At 37.3% G+C, this 17,655-nt stretch overlaps 1 protein-coding gene across 8 annotated transcripts in view; it reads left to right on the top strand.

Moving 5' to 3' along the window:
• The window catches only part of WDR72 (WD repeat domain 72), a 249,138-nt gene that overhangs the window by 20,528 nt on the left and 210,955 nt on the right, over positions 1-17,655 (top strand). For all 8 annotated transcript variants that reach the window (NR_102334.2, XM_011521436.3, NM_182758.4 and 5 more), the window contains one exon: positions 9,190-9,354. Coding sequence is in view for 7 of the 8 variants with exons in the window: in XM_011521436.3 (XP_011519738.1) it covers positions 9,202-9,354 (153 nt within the window). In the remaining variant the exon portion in view is untranslated. The remainder of the gene's footprint in view (positions 1-9,189; positions 9,355-17,655) is intronic.

Here is a 17,655-nt window from a genome sequence, read left to right as displayed (position 1 = left end):
ACTTTCTCCTCCGCACCACAGAGATTCTATAGAGAGTTTTTAATAAAATGGTTTTTTCCTTTGAGGTTTATTTTCACTTAGAGATTCCTAGGGAATTATTAGGGATATCAGAAGACATGGATTTGCTTTCTATCCTATTGATAGCAAGACACTACGTTTCTGGGGTTACTTTTTAAATTTTGCTGGGGAAAGATAAAGAGTCTGAAGAAAGTGACTTCTGATATGTGCAAGCTTTTAATCAGTTCTTTCTCCTCACTGTACAATTCATTTGGTCTTTCTCAGAATCTCAGAATTAGAAGTGATCGTAAGAATTATCTAGATCAAGCCAGATGCAGTGGCTCATGCCTGTAATCCCAGCACTTTGGGAGGCCAAGGCTGGCAGATCACTTGAGGTCAGGAGTTTGAGACCATCCTGGCCAACATGGTGAAACCCGATCTGTACTAAAAATACAAAAGTTAGCTAGGTGTGGTGGCAGGTGCCTGTAGTCCCAGCTACTCGGGAGGCTGAGACAGGAGAATCGCTTGAACTTGGGAGGCAGAGTTTGCAGTGAGCAGAGATCGTGCCACCACTCCAGCGTGAGTGACAGAGCAAGACTCTTAATCCAAAAAAAAAAAAAAATCTGGATCACATTTCTCATCATCAGCTTTCTTATAAGTGAGGGGGGGATTACATTAATGATCCAAGGCCACTTGCTCTAAATCCTATGGGAGTTTATGAGTAAAATATGCAAGGTAATATAATGATAGCATAATATGTATATTTTTGCCCATATGCTTTTGTTTACATCATTGTATTTGTTCCTCATAAGAATAGTGAAATGTAGGCAGCTCAGGTGGTAGTAACCTAATTTTACTAATTACGGTATTTACAATGTGGTAATAACGGTTATAAATGGTAAAAGCAGCCCTGGAAGTACGTCTCTGAATTTCAGGTATGTTGCACTACACATAGCAAATCTGGATTGTTCGAGATCGATTCTAGGGATCTGATTTCTTGTGGCTTTGACCTTGGTCCATTTTGTTTTCTAATTTGGTTGTGTTAGGAATCCTGTGGCTATAAAGGTTTTTAACCTGTGAAATGCTTTGATTTACTTTCACCTCCATAAACTCCAAATTCCTTGTCTTTTAACAATACAATAACATTTGTAAATATTTGAATGGGGGGATGTTTTATCATACGTGAGTCTTTAGAACTATATCCTGTGAAACTGCTCTGGGCCCTGCAATTATAGCAATAGACAAATGAGACAGAAGTCTCTGCCCTCAGAAAATTTATAATCTACTGAAAGTGAAGTTGATGTCAGTTTAATTTGAATAAGAATAAAGCAAAAGTGTTATGGTGAAAAAGTTTGACATATGGATTATCCAGAAGTATGAGAGCCAAAATAAAAATAATAGTAGTAAGTTATTAGTATTGCTCTCTGCTCCACACTGTGTGCATGATCTCATTTCATTCTCACAACAACCCTGTAAGGTATCTTTATTGTTCACATATTATAGATGAGGAAACTGAGGCTCAGAGGGACAAAATGGCTCAAATTTAAGTCTAGCCTGATTCAAGTTTACACTCTTAATCCACTCCCTCTCTTTTGGTATACAGAGCTTAAAAATAATGAAAAGAGGAATTTATTCAACCAATATTTATTTTGTCCCTATCTTCAAAGCACTGTTCTTCAGGCATTGTAGGGAATAGATGAGTGATTAAGAAATGATTCCCATATTTCAGAAGGAATGTAGAAGGAAGAAGCATCAAAATTAGTTGAATCGTGGCTCACGCCTGTAATCCCAGCACTTTGGGAGGCGGAGGCGGGCGGATCACGAGGTCAGGAGATTGAGACCACGGTGAAACCCCGTTCTCTGCTAAAAATACAAAAAATTAGCCGGGCGCGGTGGTGGGCGCCTGTAGTCCCAGCTATTCGGGAGACTGAGGCAAGAGAATGGCGTGAACCCGGGAGACGGAGCTTACAGTGAGCTGAGATCGCGCCACTGCACTCCAGCCTGGGCGACAGAGAGAGACTCCGTCTCAAAAAAAAAAAAAAAAAATTAGTTGAATCAATTTTTTTCAGTAGAAAAGAATATTTTCTGCTATGGGATAGGCAATATGCTACGTAAGTAAGGACTGATCTCTATCCTTGGGGGAAGTGTATCACTTCATTAAGGGAGACATCAATGCAGAGCGGATAATTTTCAGGGAGATACAAAACCGGAATACAGGTGACTAGTTACTGGGTAGACAGTGTTGCAAAGATTCAAGTAAGAGAAGCTAATTTTCCAGAGCAATAGGAATATAAATACTGCACCTCAAGAGTTATTTATCCCTTAGTGTAATGTTAATCATTACAAATATATTAATTACCTGGCAAATGTTCCTCGGAATTTCCTTCTCCTACTGTTCTACTCAGCAGGGTGGGTGAATTTCTTTGACTAGTTTCCTAGGTAAAGTTTAAAAAATGACACAAGTCCTTGGACAAGAGCCAAAGTGCACATTGCCCGTAAAAAAATGCCCAGTTTCCTTTGGAGCAGTGTGACCCAGAAGCTTTCCCTTGTGTATCACTATTTAATTCTTAGCTAAGCACACGTTAGCCAAGCCAAGAATGAAGGTCAAATGATTTTTGTATGGTGATTTTCGTTGTCTCAATACTAAAAGCTGTGGTGAAAAGAGCAATACAAAGTCAGGAGCAGTAGTTCTTAGGAGCAGAATGTTAAAACACGCCCATGTGTGTCCTTCTCACTACCTGCTTTGCAGTCTTCACTTGTATCCAATTTATCTGGTATTCATGAGAGTGAGCTTTTCCCCAAAGGTGAATTTTCCTTGTCAATGAAACTTACTATCTATTTAACTCTTGTCTTAGAAATAGTTAAAACTGCTAGTTTCTACTTCCCCCTCTTCTTATAGTAGAGTATATTGGACATCTCAGCATCTTTTATTCAGACAGGTGGTTGCCATCAGAGGCAGTAATTGTCCGGGCCTTAGAGGACTGCGGAGCCCTCAGGAGTGATAGAGATGTAGGCCAATTTGCTCTTACACTAAGGGTCCCAGGACTGCCAGATTCTGCGGCTTTAATGGCAGGTTTTGTGGGCTTTTTGATCTCCTTTCTCTTTGCCGATTCACTTTTTTTTGATGCTTACTTCAGTTGAAAATCATTATGTTCCTACTTTCTTCACTTCATTCTCCTTCTGTCTCTCATCTGTTGATTTTGATATAAATGAGCTGTTAAATGAGCTGTCATTTTGCTTTACTTAGGAGAATTTATGTAGGTTTGTCCTATGTGCTTTCATATATAAGAATGTATCTGTTAATTCCCCAAGATTACACCCAATATGAAGTTTTTGCTAAAATAAATGTGTGTGTGCATAATTTTACATATTTTATTCCATTTTAATGGTTACAAGTATTTGTGTTTCTATTTCTTATTCATTCAGATTTAATAATCTGTGTTTTCTGGCTGGGTACAGTGGCTCACGCCTGTAATCCCAGCACTTTGGGAGGCCATGGTGGGCAGATCACCTGAGGTCAGGAGTTCAAGACCAGCTTCGCCAACAAGGTGAAATGCCATCACTACTAAAAATAAAAAAATTAGCTAGGCATGGTGGTGGGTGCCTGTAATCCCAGTACTCAGGAGGCTGAGGCAGGGGCAGGGGCAGGAGAATCCCTTGAACCCGGGAGTGGAGGTTGCAGTGAGCCGAGATCACGCCATTGCACTTCAGCATGGGCGACAAGAACGAGACTCCATCTCAAACAAACAAACAAACAAACAAACAAAAACAAAAAAAAGGCTTGTGATCTATATTTTCTCTAAAAATTATTTCACTTACCTTTCCAAATTTTTAGCATTAAGTTAATAATATTCTCATTTAAGATATCTGAGTTTACTCATTTTCTCTGTATATTAATTTTGATGTTTTTAGGGCCTTCCTTATCAAACTTGCCATAGATTTCCTCATGTTATTTCTCTTTTCAAAACCTGGGTTTCATTTGTAGATTATTTCTTATATGTTGTTGTTTTTATAATATATATGGTTTTGTCTACATTGTTTCCTTTTGCATTCTTTGTATTTACCCTGCTCTTCTTTTATATAAGATTTTAATTTGGCTGTTATTTACTTATTAATTTGCTGTCTTTTTTCTTACTGATGTATTTATGTGTTTAAGGCTGTAATTTTTTTAATACAAAACCTACATTTGGCAAATTTTATTATACAACGTTTTCATACTTTTGAGTCTTAACTACATCGAATTTATATTATGTTTTCTTGGTAGCCCAGGGATCATTTAGAATTTTTTTTAGTTTCCAAACATTCAGACAGGGAATATTTTAAACTTTTGTGTTATGCATATGTTACAGGAGTGGGGAAGGAGGCAATTTCAGATTTTTATTGATTGTGGTCAGATAATGTTTCCTAAATGGTATTAATCCTTTTAGATGTTTTGGGACCTGTTTTGTGGTCCAGGAGGGTCACAGTTTTATAAATGTTGTATGCGTGGTCTCATTGAAATGTATTTTTATTTAATTCCTAGATGCAGGAATCTATATATTTTTGTGATGTTACTAATACAAATTATGTGGTTCAAGTATTTAATATCCTTAAATTTTTGTTGTCTGCTTGATCTGTTTATTACTAATTGAAACATGTAAAATCTCTCCGTGTCACAGTTAATTTACCAGCTTTTCTTAGTAATTATGCTATATTGTGTTTTATGTATTTTGAGACTCTGCTGTTGAGTATCTAGAGACTATTATCCTTTTCTGGTGAATGACTTATTTAATCATTATATAGTGACCACCACCTCCCCCAACAGTGGTTTTGCTTTAAAGCCCATTTTGTCCAGTATTACATCAGTTTTCTTTTATTACTATTTGCCTGGTACATTATTATTCACCTCTTTATTTTCAACCTTTCTACGTTAATATTTTAGGAATCTTTTGTAAGTAAGATATAGTAGGATATATTCTAATTGATAATTTTTGTCTTTTAACTAGCAAGTTTAATCCATTTATTCATTCTGTTGCTAACATTATTTATTCCGATGCTCAAATTGTCCATGGTTTGGCCTGTGGGAGGTCCTTCAAGCAGACTTCTGTGTTCCTTTGATATATCCTCACTATTTGAGCACTTCCTTGTTTTAACAGCAATTTAGTCCAGTAGCATCTTGTGTTTCCCTGCTCCAGGCCTGGAATCAACCAGTTTCCCAATAAAACCTGATTCCTTTTTAGTAGAGAATAGTATTTAGAGATGCTATGTAAGCTCATTGCTATTGGAGTGTTGCTTCTCCCAAGACTCCAGCTAACAGAGATGGCAAGTCTGTGTGTGTGTGTGTGTGTGTGTGTGTGTGTGTGTGTGTGTGTGTGTTTTACATCTACCTTTGTTTTACACCAGTTCCTCTAATTCGACTCCAGTACCACAGGGATCATTCAAGTTTTTTCCTTTCCATATTTCTAACTCTTTTTTTCTAACAGTAAGAAATCTGATTCCTGTTATAAATAAGCAATATACTAATTATTTGCCATCAGTCTGTTATGTAACCAATTTCCTGTAAACGTGCTACCCTGTCCTCTGTGTGGATGCCCTCCTGATCATTTTCTGGCTTTAACACTTCTTGTGGACCTGTCCACTGCCTAATATGTGAAAATCCTGCTTATCCCTGTATTCCTTTACTACATCTGATTACATTTTCAGGCAGCAACTTTTCTCATCCTACAAGTGCTCTCAGGATGCTCAACACCCCTCAGTGTGCATGCCTTCCTATCCTCCTTGGGCTTCAACACTTTGTGCCAGACCATCCTTGTAAATTGATGTCCTCCTCACCCTGCCCAAGCTCTGGCCCCTCACAGCAGGGCCACTTCCTTCACTGTCCTCACCCCTGTTAGGCTCATGACACTCCTTGTTGAGGAACCTCATTATGTGAGCTCCTTTCTCACTTGTTCCTGCTCCAATACCCAGTGCCAGACAGCCCTGTATACATTACTCCTCTTCACCCTCCTTGGAGGCTGCACCTTACATGCAGCTGCCCCCACATTTGGACACCTCACTCACCATCCCTGGCCTCTGACTCCACTGTCTTCCTATCCTGATGCCCTCCTCATACTATTTGAACTCCAACACTCCACTCTTGCTCTGTTCTATTAATATTCCATGGCTTTAGGACTGAATTAGCAAAGAAGGGAAAGGGTTCTATCATTTTTGGAGCTTATATTAGATAAATATTGGGTCTTTTCACTTAGCATCTATATCTCTTAACATCTCTGATTTATCTTAATGTCTCTGAATTCTTTTTACTCAACATTTTCATTTTTTTTTAATGACTTCTTGCTGTATTCTGGGAAATTTCCTGAAAATTGTATTCAAGTTAATTATTCTCCCTTCACTTGGGTCTATTCTGATTTGTCCTTTTGAGATTTGTTATATTTTAACGATTATGTTTTATTTCTAGAAGTAATATTTGTTTCTTTTAAAAGTCTACCTTTTGTAGGTTTTTTCTTTGGGTTTTTAATTTCATCTTTTGTCTATTTATTGATTTATAATAATTTATTATATTTGTTCTTCTTTTGAAATATGTTTTAGATTGTTCACTTATTATTAGTTCCTGGGGTACTAATCTTTCTGTTTGCTCATGGTTTATCTTGAATGTTTTATAATTTTTTATTGTAAGATTATTTGCTACTGGGGCTAATTGTTTTACAGAAATCTCGTTCACTCTTGATAGTGAGAGTGTCTTTCAGAATGCCTTAAGTACAACATTAAACAACTTTATTGAAGTATAATTGACACACATAATATTTGTGTGTATACATAAATGCATTTAAAGTATAAATTTGATTAAGTTTTGACATATGTATACCCTCATGAAACCATTACCATAATTAAAATAATGAACTTATCTACCACCTTCAAAACTTTTCTTACTCCCCATTGTAATGTCACTGTTCCCTGTTCTTTCTTTCCCTGAGCAATCACTGACCTATTTCTGCCAAACTGTTTTCCATTGTACGTTCCCCCCGTCAGTGTATGAGTTCCAGTTGCTGTACATTCTTCTTAATACTTGTCATGGTCTTTTTTTTCCCCCCTGTCTTGCTCTGTAGCCCAGGCTGGAGTGCAGTGGCACAATCTCAGCTCACTGCAACCTCCACCTCCTGGGTTCAAGTGATTTCCCCACCTCAGCCTCCCGAGGTAGGATTACCAGTGTGTGCCACCATGCCTGGCTAATTTTTGTATTTTTAGTAGAGAGGGAGTTTCACCATGTTGGTCAGGCTGGTCCTGAACTGCTGGGTTCAAGTGCTCCACCTACCTCGGCCTCCCAAAGTGCTGTGATTACAGGCCTGAGACACTGCGCCTAGCCATTAACACTTGTCATGGTCTTTTAAAAAAATTTAGATATTCAAATAGGTCTGTAGTGTTTCTGACAAGCCTCCCAATAGTATCATTGACCTGGAAACAATTTTTTATATATAATTATTATAAAAGTATTATACATAACTCCAGAATCCCCATGTGAAGAAATTCATTCCGGAATTATATATAATATTATTATTTTTTTTTTTTAGTCCCAACCCATTTGTACTTCAGGCTTGACAGATTTTTCTTGGGAGATTTGGAAATACTCTTTCTTATCTTCCTGGGGTAGTTTTTCTGTTCCTCTTTCATTGAGCAAGGCCACTTCTGAGAGTTTTGCTTCCTATCCTTACATAGGGATTAATATGCAAACTCCTAGCCAAAAAGCCACATACTAATTTAGTTCTAATACTTATTGTACTGGTTTTCTGGTTTCTCTTAGTTTTTCACTGCTTGGGATTTTCCAGACTTATTGATAAGCTTGGTCAGGAAGCAACAACTTAAAAATAGGTATAATGCATTTTTCTCTGTGTTTGAAGCAGAAGAAGGTCCATGTTCTGGTTACAGTATTATTGAAATCAGAACTCTCTGGGTAGCTTTGTAGTATGATTAATATGTATAATCCTGGTATTCAGAATTGCAATGCTCAGAACATTTCCTGTAGAAACTTTGGCTTCATGGTGTTTGGACATGGCAGTTAGAATAATGCAAGTGTATTATAGACTAGATAGACTAACATATTGACCTAAGAAGTGAAAATGGGGAACTAGATACTGAATTCCAGACAATGGAACTACAAGGAAAATTTGTGTTCATAGTGTCAGTGCACACCCATGTTTATGTATATATTTGTGTGTGTGTGTGTGTAGACATATAATTGAACATTAGAAATAACATGTATCATAAGTTTTAAAAATTTATATTGGTATTTACACTTTTGGTGGTTTAGCAACAGAAATCCTGCAGGACAGAAGGTTTTCATTTTCTTGACTTTCTCAAAGCAATGTGGGAAGTATGCTTGGCCCCTTTCTCCTCTCTTTCGGACATTTTTAATGGGATTAAATATATAATGCTAAATTGTCTCCCAAAATTGTTTGTGTTTCAGGAAGGAATGACAATTTGGGGAGAATATTTAACTCAGTGTTTCACAAAATATAATGCACACATCACTGAGTGATACTTTGGGTGGTCATAGATAACATTTTTTGATACTTATGTATTCATTTTAACCCTTGTAACTAACATATGAATGTAGTAATTTCATAAAGATTATTGTTTAGGAAGATACCAAACATAAAAATAGGTAAAATAAAAATTATTATTAAAAATAGAATATGGCAGAAATCATGACAGTCATACATGAATCTTGAAGACTAGGAAACACTGTTTTTATGGAAAAGATTTATTTTTTTAATAGCAAATTCACCAATTTCAGGTATTTATTACCTAGATGAGGTAACATTTCTAGGGAGAGAGAGTCTGCAAAGCTGGCTTCAAATTATACCATGTAGACAGCTCTATGCTTCTTGAGAGGCCCAGCAGGACTTTGCAGCAAGTTGGATGTAGCCACAGGAAGAGCTGGGTGTGAAGTGAATAGACCATTCCTTTCTTTCTCTTCAACAATAATAAGGAATTCGAAGATAAGTCATTCTTGTTTGATGAATTAGCAGTGTGCATGGTAATTTCAGTTTCTGATGACTACTTTCTCTTCTAATTGACGGGGAAACACCCTTTTCCATAGCACTGGGAGAACACATCATTGAAGTTTGGTCATCATAAATCTGCTTGTAATATTATCGGTTTCCTCAAATTTCAAAAAGATGACCATGTATGCTTCTTCCCTTCTTTGTATGTCAGGATTCGCCCAAAATGAGGACTTCCCTGCAGGCAGTGGCACTCTGGGGACAGAAGGCCCCTCCCCACAGCATCACTGCCATCATGATCACTGATGACCAGCGAACGATTGTGACTGGAAGTCAAGAGGGTCAGCTCTGTCTCTGGAATCTCTCACATGAACTAAAGGTTAGTGAAAGCTACTGATATTGAAACAGACACCACTCACAAAATACGGACAACTTGCATTTTCTATCTGCAATGACAGTGGAAGGTTTGCATGATTGTTAAAAAGATGTTTATTAAAGTAATAAATTGATTTTACTTCTGAATTTTGAGAAAATAAAGTATTATATGATTGATCAAGATTATATTTGAAAATTATATTATGAATATTGCTAATCTTAGCTACAGCTAAGTGTTATCATCCTTTAAGCTATGCTGAGTTTTACTATTTTATATCCTGAATTATATGTTTAAGTAACTGAACTACAGGCATGTAAGTATAATTTTAAAAATTATGGCTCATTAATCTAAACAAAGGGCACCCTTGAAAGCCACGATTAACTAAATGAGTAATATCTTAATTATGTGGGTGTTTCTGCTCATTTGGCCTTCTTGCTATTCTTTTAGTCTCTGCCTGCCTGTGATTTTTACAGATCACATCAAAATGCTCTAAATCCAATTTACTATTGTCATCCTTCTATTTCAGAACCTGACCTCACCTAGGATTTGGTCCATTGATTAGCAATTAATTGTCCCTGTCTCAAGTCATAAACATTTAACGTATCAGAATAGATATTTGCTTAACTCTAGCAGTCTCTAGACCCAATTTGAACAATTAAACTAATGATGTAGTTAAAGTATACTGCCCTCATTAAGAAGCCTTTTAAAGATCAAAGACTATTTTTAGCCTTTAAAGTTTGTCACTTTAAAACCTAAATTAACAATTAATTGTAATTCTATTTTATAGTGTAATTAATTAACATCTCCCATCACTGAACAGTTCTACTACAGGACTGCCAAGAACTGCATTGCAGACCAGCTCAGCTCAATGTTAATGAACGTTCTTGAAGGAAGGATGGGTATTATTGCAACAGTTGTGCTTTAAAAATAGTGGCTCCCTTTGAAAATTAAAACATTAATTTTCTATTATAGTTTAAACACAAACTTCTAAGTGACTAAAATATCTTACTTATTTTTAATGTTTAAGTGTATTATTTTCTGGCTAGAATAGTTGTGTAATAATATGTAGGTCACTATAAGCTTAAGAAATCTGGAATTCTAGCATCTTCATATTTATAAAGGCATTGCTAATATTTATTCAACTTTTGTTTAGCATACATTTGTTGAGTGCATGCTGTAAGTTGTGTGGTATGGTGGGTACTCATTTGTAAATTCAAATGTGAATGATAAGACCTGGTGCTGGCTGCCCAGGAGGTTACAGTGCAGTACAGAAAAAAACTGGCTACTGTGGCACAGTTATGATATAAGGCACTCTAAGCAGGGAATGGTCTGCACTCCATATTCAGTGGAGAAGTTATGCCATGGGTCTCTTAGGAGCAAGTCTTCTGCTTGGATTCAGAGTAGTGGTTCTTACAGGGAGCAATTTTCCTCCGAAGAGACATCTGTTACTATCTACAGACATTTTGGTTGTCACAATTGAAGGACAAGGTGGCATGTAGTGGGTGGAGCCAGAGATACTACAAAGGTCATATAGTGCACATGACAGCTCCTCACAATAAATAATTTTTCCATTCCAAATGCCCAGAGTGCTGATACAGAGAAATCCAGGGATAGAGATATGGGCTGGGAATAGGAATTAGATTGGTGAGAGTGGAAGAAGCAAAGTTATTCTACATTAAGGAGACTGCCTGTGCTTGGAGGAAAGGGAGGAGCTGTTTGTTGCCTTAACCTAGGTGTGAAAAAGGATCAAAGAGAGGTAAGGCCAGAGGGGAAGACGGGCCTAGGCGTGGAGAAGTTGAGATGACAAGTGAAGGAATTTATATTGAATTCTCGAGAACTATAGAGGAGATTTAAGTTGGGGATGGGATCAGCTTTGTGTTTTTGAAATTCACTGTGAGGACATTGTGCAAAAGTTAATTACACAAAGAAGTTATTGATTCGTATGAATGTGAGATACTCCATGTAAAGATTTTCCTGAACATTTTCTACGGCTAACCATAGAGCCAGACTGAATAAATAGCATCTCTTATTTTCCCATGAATCTTGCCCCCCCACATTGCAACTAATCAACTATTAGCAGGGAAAACTCCAGACTGAAAAAAATCAAGGGCACTTTTCAGTTCTCAACAAATCCTCTTGTTATCCATAAGGTGGTCAAGTGAGTAGATTAATGGGTTAATACTTAGTGGTTTAATTTTATTTTTGTTTAAAAAATGTGTATATAAAGGAATAATTTGGGTAGGGGTAGAAAAAAAGGAGTCCTTGAGGACAGAAGAGACTGTAAAAAAGGATGTAACTACATGGTTGACTGAGTCACCGTAGGGCAGCATCTCAGGGAGAGGATGGTAGGAAGAAGAGAAGGAAGTCGGGCATGGGAGGTTGTAAAGTGAACAGGGAGCCATTTATTTTCTCTTCATACTAAGTTTGGAAAGTTCTTTCCCCCTCCAAAAGTATGTAGGTAAGAGAATACATCAGGTTCTGTGGTCTTAAACACTCGCTTGCCACCATGCAAAATGGAAAAACAAACCAGGAACACTTATTTACGCTTTCATTAGGCAAACTACACAGGTACTTTTTGTTCTAGGCACAAATCCCTCCTCCAAGTTTCTCGGAGTCCAGTATGGGAGACAGACTTGTAAATAGGAATTTGTAAAGCACTGAGATACTTTCTATCTCTATGAATTTGACTATTCTATATATCTCCTGTAAGTGGAATCATACAGTATTTGTCTGTGATTGGCTTATTTTATTTAGTATAATGTCTTCAAGGTTCATTCATGCTGGAGCATATGACAGTATTTCCTTTCTTCTTAAGTTTGAATAATATTCCACTGTATATATATACCACATTTTGTTTATCTGTTCATCTATGGATACATACATGGGTTGCTTCCACCTTTTGGCTATTGTGAATGATGCTGCTATACACATGGGTGCACACATAACAGTTTGTATCCTTGCTTTCAACTCTTTTGGGTACATACTGAGAAGTGGAATTGCTGGTTCATGTAGTAATTCTATTTTTGAAATTATTTTTAATTGACACATAATTTTGTACATATTTATGGAGTGTTAATTCTATTGTAAATTTTTTGAGGCACTCCTATGGTGGCTGCACACTTTGCATTCCCACCTGCAGTACACAGGGCAACCAATTTCCCTGTATCCTCACCAGTGCTAGTTACTTTATTTTTTTTTTTGTAATAGCCATTCTAATGGGTGTTAAGTGGTATCCTGTTATGTTTTTGAATGGAAAGCCTTTCTGAGAGTGATGCTTGAGCTGAGTTCTAAAGAATGCACAGGAGTTGAAGGTGAGTTTGCAAACACAGGCAATGACAAGTGTGTGTGAAAGACATGAGCATTTTGCCTTAAGGGAACTGGTAAAAGTAGTTGAGTAGACCTGGAGCATACATGGTGAATTAGAGGTGACAGGCTCATCTGGAAAGGACAGGATGGGTCCAGCATGGAATCCCACAGGCTGAGGGGTTTGTAAGTTTTGTTTTGTTTTTTTTTCACTAGATAGAGCTAATAGCACATGATAATTAAAAGCAGTGGTGATTTTAAGGGCTTTAGAGGATATTTTATGTGAGAAGATGACATAATACTATTCAATTGTATTTGGGTTTTAGAAGATCACTTGCTAGCAATGTGAAGGGCATATTGGAGAAAGGGGGAGCTGACATCAGGGACAGGGACTATGGCTAGCAGACTTCTACTGTAATTTACTCAAGAAAGGTTTTGAGGATAAACCAAATGAATGGCAGTGAGGATGAAGAGGAGATGAAAACTGAAAAGACATTAAGAAGAGAGGATGGACAGAACTGAGAAACTGATTGGATGTAGGGTAAGGGAGCAGGAACAGCCAAGGATCTTTCCCAGATTTAGGGTTTGGGAGCTGGATGGGACTGGTAGAATGATGGTATTATTCATTTGCATAAGGAATAAAGGGGATTGGAGAATAGGAATAGGGAAGGAAAAAAGGTGGTGTAAGTTCTGCACGTCTCAGAGTGCCCAAGTATTCAATAGGGGTTTGAAGATGTGCCTCAGTCTTTCCTTGACCATGTGCAGTGGGATGGCAGGGCACAGGGGAGCTAGAGAATAAGTGTCTCCCTGCCTTGGGCTTCTCACTGCATGCCTAGATTATACATGCTGCCTTTGAGTTCGAAGTCTGACTCCCATAGCCCTCTAGTTTCCCCAGAATTTTGTGAAGTCTACCAGTGAGGAGCTTCTCCAAATCCCGTGGCAGCAAATTCTTTACTTGGGTTTTCTGGCATTGATTGCTTGTTTTCTTAAAAGCATAGAGAAAGGTGTGGTGAATATCCTGTCAGATAGATTCCCTTAGTATTGCTATGTTCTGCTCTTCCGCCTGTCTAATACTCAGAAGGAAACACAATAAAATGAAGAAGAGCAATGTGTGGAGACAAAGAATGGAGATCTTAGTCAAGTGCCAGCCCTGATATTTACCAACACTGTGATACTGGGCAAATGACTTATATTCTTTGAGCTTCAATTTCCTCACCTGTGAAATGGGGATTTAAACACTACTCTGTGATTGTGTTTTTGTCTGGAATACGGTAGATGTTCATTGATGTGGTTTGGCTCTGTCCCCATCCATGTTTCATCTTGAATTGTATCTCCCACAATTCCCACATGTTGTGGGAAGAACCCAGGGGTAGATAATTGAATCATAAGCCTGGTCTTTCCCGTGCTATTCTCGTGAAAGTGAGTTAGTCTCACAAGATCTGATGGTTTTAAAAAGGGGAGTTTCCCTGCCAATATCTCTCTTTGCCTGCTGCCATCCAGGTAAGATGTGACTTGCTCCTCCTTGCCTTCCACCATGATTGGGAGGCCTCCCCAGCCATGTGGAACTGTAAGTCCATTAAACTTCTTTCTTTTGTAAATTGCCCGGTCTCAGTTATGTCTTTATCAGCGGTGTGAAAACAGACTAATACATTCATCAAGTTGTGTGTTCTTTTCAGTCTCCCATTGTGCTGTTGGAAGTACCTGGAAGTGATGGTGGTGGTCAGGAGGAACCAATGCTTCATAAAAGTAGAGCTAATGGACAACAGGAAAGGTCTTGCAGATTTCATCATGACAGTGACTAAGTGTGATTGTAGAATTTTTGAATTTTGTTATTCTTCACAGCAGTTCTACAATATGGTAAATGAGGAAATTTTAGTGAACTGTCACAGCTTATTCAAATATATGTGGGGATTTAGTAATAGAATGAGGACTTCATATGAAAGGCCATGATGTTCTGTTCTGATATTTTGTCCATGGTAGATTTTCTCTGGAGGAGGGAATATCCTTGATGTTCCCTCATTGATTGCTTAATTTGGCTTCTAATAGACTGGAAAGGGATTAAATGCACAGGGATATGCACCCCTGAGTGTGATGACAGGGAAAGATAGTATGTTGTTCTCTGAGATGGAACCTTCTGGACTTCTCAGGAAAAAGGTAGCGCGAACTTGAATTGTGCAGGATTCTAATCAACCACAAAACACTTCTTGTAGCACTAAAAAGTTAGTCTGACAACAGCTCTTTTAAGAAGGAAATATTTCTGATTATGATAGAAATGATACAAAGGCAGAGAACAATTATGTCATGAAATAATTTGTCCTCATTAATATGGCTGAGTTACCATCTACATATGTTCGTATAGTTCAGAAAAAACATAATAGATATTAATTCATTTGGAAAATAGATTTTTATTACCCACAAGACATTTGCTAGCCATTCAAATTCAATTTTTGGTCTTTTTTTTTTTTTTTTTAGACAGAGTCTTACTCTGTCACCCAGGCTGGAGTGCAGTGATGAGATCCACTACACCCAGCTAATTTTTGTATTTTTAATAGACATGGGGTTTCACTATGTTGGCTAGGCTGGTCTTGAATATCTGACCTCAAGTGATCCACCCGCCTCAGCCTCCCAAAGTGCTGGGATTACAGGCATGAGCCACCGACCGTGCCGGGGCGATGTTTGGTTTATTATTGACAACTTTCTCCATCTGAGGAGATCTTACATGTTTTCTGTTTTGTAATTTAATTTTCATCATCTTGTTTTACAAAATAATGAGGAATTTACTTCTTTCACACATGAGATAGGGGAATTAGCCCTTAGTGTCATATTTTTAAAATTGGGTGTTTGTTTTTTCTTGAGATGGGATCTCACTCTGTCACCCAGTCTGGAGTGCAGTGGCATGAGCTCAGCTTGCTGCAGCCTTGACTGTTAGAGCTCAAGCGATTCTTCCACCTTAGCCTCCTGAGTAGCTGGGATCACAGATGTGCGCCACCATGCCCAGCTAATTTTTTAAAATTATTTGTAGAGATGAGGTCTCACTACATTGCCCAGGCTGGTCTTGAATTTCTGGATTCAAGTGATCCTCTTGCCTCTGCCTGCCAAAGTGCTGGGATTATAAACATGAACCACCATGCTTGGCCAGCATCGATATTTTAAAAAATCATTTAGTTAAAATTTTGTTTGTAATGTAGGAAGGTTAATTTTAGTATTTCTGAGGCAGGAAGATAAATAAGATATTTTTAAAAAGTATTTCAATAGACTATTTTTGAAAGCAGTTTTAGGTTTAAAGCAAAACTGACTGGAAGGTACAGGGAGTTTCAGAAATACCTGATCAGCCCCGCCCCCCTCCCAACACACGTGTACACACAGTCTCCCTCACCATTAACATCCCACACTAGAGCAGTGTGTGTGTGTATATATATATATATATATATACACACATACATATATATATACACACATACATATATATATATATACACATACATATATATATACACACACACATATATATATATATATTACAACCAATTAACTTACATATCATCAAGCATTGGTTCACTCTTGGTATTGTACGTTTTATGGGATTTGACAAATGTATAATGACACGTATCTTTTTTTTTTTCTTGAGATGAACTCTCATTCTGTCACCCAGGCTGTAGTGCAGTGGTGCAATCTTGGCTCACTGCAACCTCCACCTCCCAGATTCAAGCAAATCTACTGCCTCAGCCTCCCAAGTAGCTGGGATTAAGGCACATACTACCACTCCTGGCTAATTTTTATATTTTTAATAGATACGAGGTTCGTCCTGTTAGCCAGGTTGGTGTATCCATTATTATAGCATCATACAGAATAGTTTCACTGCCCTAAAAATTCTCTGTGCCCCATCTATTTATCTCCTGCTCCCCACAAACCCCTGACAACCACTAATGTTTTTATTGTCTGCTAAGTTTTGCCTTTTCCACAATGTCGTATAGTTGGAATCATAAAACCTTTACAGATTGGCTTCTTTCATATGGTAATACACATCAGTGGTTTTTCCGTGTCTTTTCATGGCTTGATAGCTGATTTCTTTTTAGCGCTGAGTAATATTTCATTGTATATATGTACCATAATTTATCTGTTCACCACTTGAAGGATATCTTGGTTGCTATCACATTTTGGCAATTATGGATAAAGCTACTGTAAACATTTGTGTACAGATTTTTGTGTGGACACAGCTTTTCAACTTACTTGGGTTAAATATCAATGAGCATGATTGCTGTGTTGTATGGTAAGAATATGTTTAGTTTTATATGAAACTACTGTACTCTTTTCCAAAGTGGCTGTCCTATTTTGCATTCTCACTAGCAGTGAGTGAGAATTCCTGTTGCTCCACATCCCGGCCAGCATTTGATGTTGCCAATGTTCTGGATTTTGGCCATTTTAATAGGTGTGCTGTGGTTTCTCATTGTTTTTTAATTTGCACTTCTCTTATGACATACGATATGGAGCACCTTTTTATATGTTCACTTGCCATCTGTATGTTTTCTTTGGTGAGGTGTCTGCTCAGATCTTTTGACTATATTTTAATTAGGTTTTTAACTTTCTTATTGTTGAATTTTAAGAGTTCTTTGTGTATTTTGGATAATAGTCCTTTATCAGGTATAACTTTTGAAAATATTTCTCTCAATCTGTGGCTTGTTTTCTTATTTTCTTGATCTTTTCTTATTTTTTATATAAATAAGAAAGATGTTTTAATTTTAGAAATTTTAGGTAATATAGATAATTTAGAAGTGAAACTTGAAGCCTAAAATTTCCTCCATGGTAACTGGTCTGATATTTAGTCTATGACTAATGGAATTTTAGTCGTTTTTATATTAACTTTAATGAGCTGTAATTAACTAGTAAAATTATATAGGTTTAAGATGTACAGAGTGATGATTTGATATATGAATACATTGTGAAATGATTACCGCAAATGATATGTTTTGGCTCTGTGTCCCCACGCAAATCTCATGTTGA

Source organism: Homo sapiens, chromosome 15 (assembly GCF_000001405.40).
Source record: "Homo sapiens chromosome 15, GRCh38.p14 Primary Assembly".
In the NCBI taxonomy this organism is placed as follows: Eukaryota; Metazoa; Chordata; class Mammalia; order Primates; family Hominidae; genus Homo; species Homo sapiens.
Note: the sequence above shows the minus strand (reverse complement) of the source record. Positions and strands in the feature narration are given on the sequence as shown.